Source organism: Homo sapiens, chromosome 4, assembly GCF_000001405.40.
Source record: "Homo sapiens chromosome 4, GRCh38.p14 Primary Assembly".
Taxonomy (NCBI): domain Eukaryota; kingdom Metazoa; phylum Chordata; class Mammalia; order Primates; family Hominidae; genus Homo; species Homo sapiens.
This window is the reverse complement of record NC_000004.12, coordinates 80,127,074-80,128,021: the sequence shown is the minus strand read 5'-3', so window position 1 is coordinate 80,128,021 and position 948 is coordinate 80,127,074. Positions and strand designations below refer to the sequence as shown.

Here is a 948-nt window from a genome sequence, read left to right as displayed (position 1 = left end):
TACTATCACCATCCCCATTCATTTTGCGGGTATCCGTTGCTGTTCATCCTCCCCTTCTCATCCTCTCTTTCTTTCTCATCACACTACCTCTTCTGTCTAGAATTTCATCTTCCAAAGTCTTCTTCATGTAAAAAATATTTCACTAAACAAATACAAGTGTTTGTACCTGAGGTTTTAATTGGAGGCTTTGAAGAAAATAACAGGTTAGAATTGAGAGATTGTAGGTTCTAACATTAAGAGAAATGAGGGAGGAGACATTTTACCAACATTTGAGTTGAAGCTTCATCCAAAGGTATTTAAGGCATTGAGTTTCAATGGATATCCAATGTTCTGGCCCCTAATGTCTTTTCTCTTCACTGTTTGATTTCTCCAGGAGAATTAGGTGGCTGGTGTGGGGTGGGGGTAGGGGCAGGTAAGGAGAAGCAAAAATAAATACATAACAAGGCAGGATACAGAGGTGATTCACTAACTGTCAGGAAGTTTAAAGTGTGAACAAGACTGCCAGTAGGAAGTGAGTCACTAACAGGCAACCCAGGGGAAATCTCCCAAGAGAGAAGAGAAAAGTTAGTTGAAAGAGAGTTGACTGTTGGGAAAGTTATTAAAGTAAGGTCTTCAGTAGACACAGTAACTTGGAGGTTTGATGTATAACAGGGAGAGGCTATCTGATCCCTGATAGCTCCCTTGTTCATGCCGGAGTTTTTTTTTTTTTTTTTTTTTTTTTTTTTTTTTTTTTTAGTATTTATTTATTTATTATTTTTAGTAATTCTTTTCCTTCTTTTAAAATAAAAATAAGCTGTAAGAAATAAAGTTAATATTTATCCAGAAGTCTTATGCACTAGGTACTTTATATAAATCATTTTATCTTAAAAATAACTCTGTGAAGCAGACACAAATATTATCTGTATTTTCCAGATAGGAAAACTGAGAAGTTAAGTATCTTGCCCAAGA

At 35.3% G+C, this 948-nt stretch overlaps 1 annotated feature.

Moving 5' to 3' along the window:
- Window positions 420-557: a transcriptional cis regulatory region, noted in NCBI's record as "candidate enhancer chr4.2002 targeted for multiplex CRISPR interference". NCBI's record gives its function as "positively regulates ANTXR2 gene expression with high confidence in K562 cells {active_cell/tissue: K562}" and the evidence as "EXISTENCE:mutant phenotype evidence [ECO:0000015][PMID:30612741]".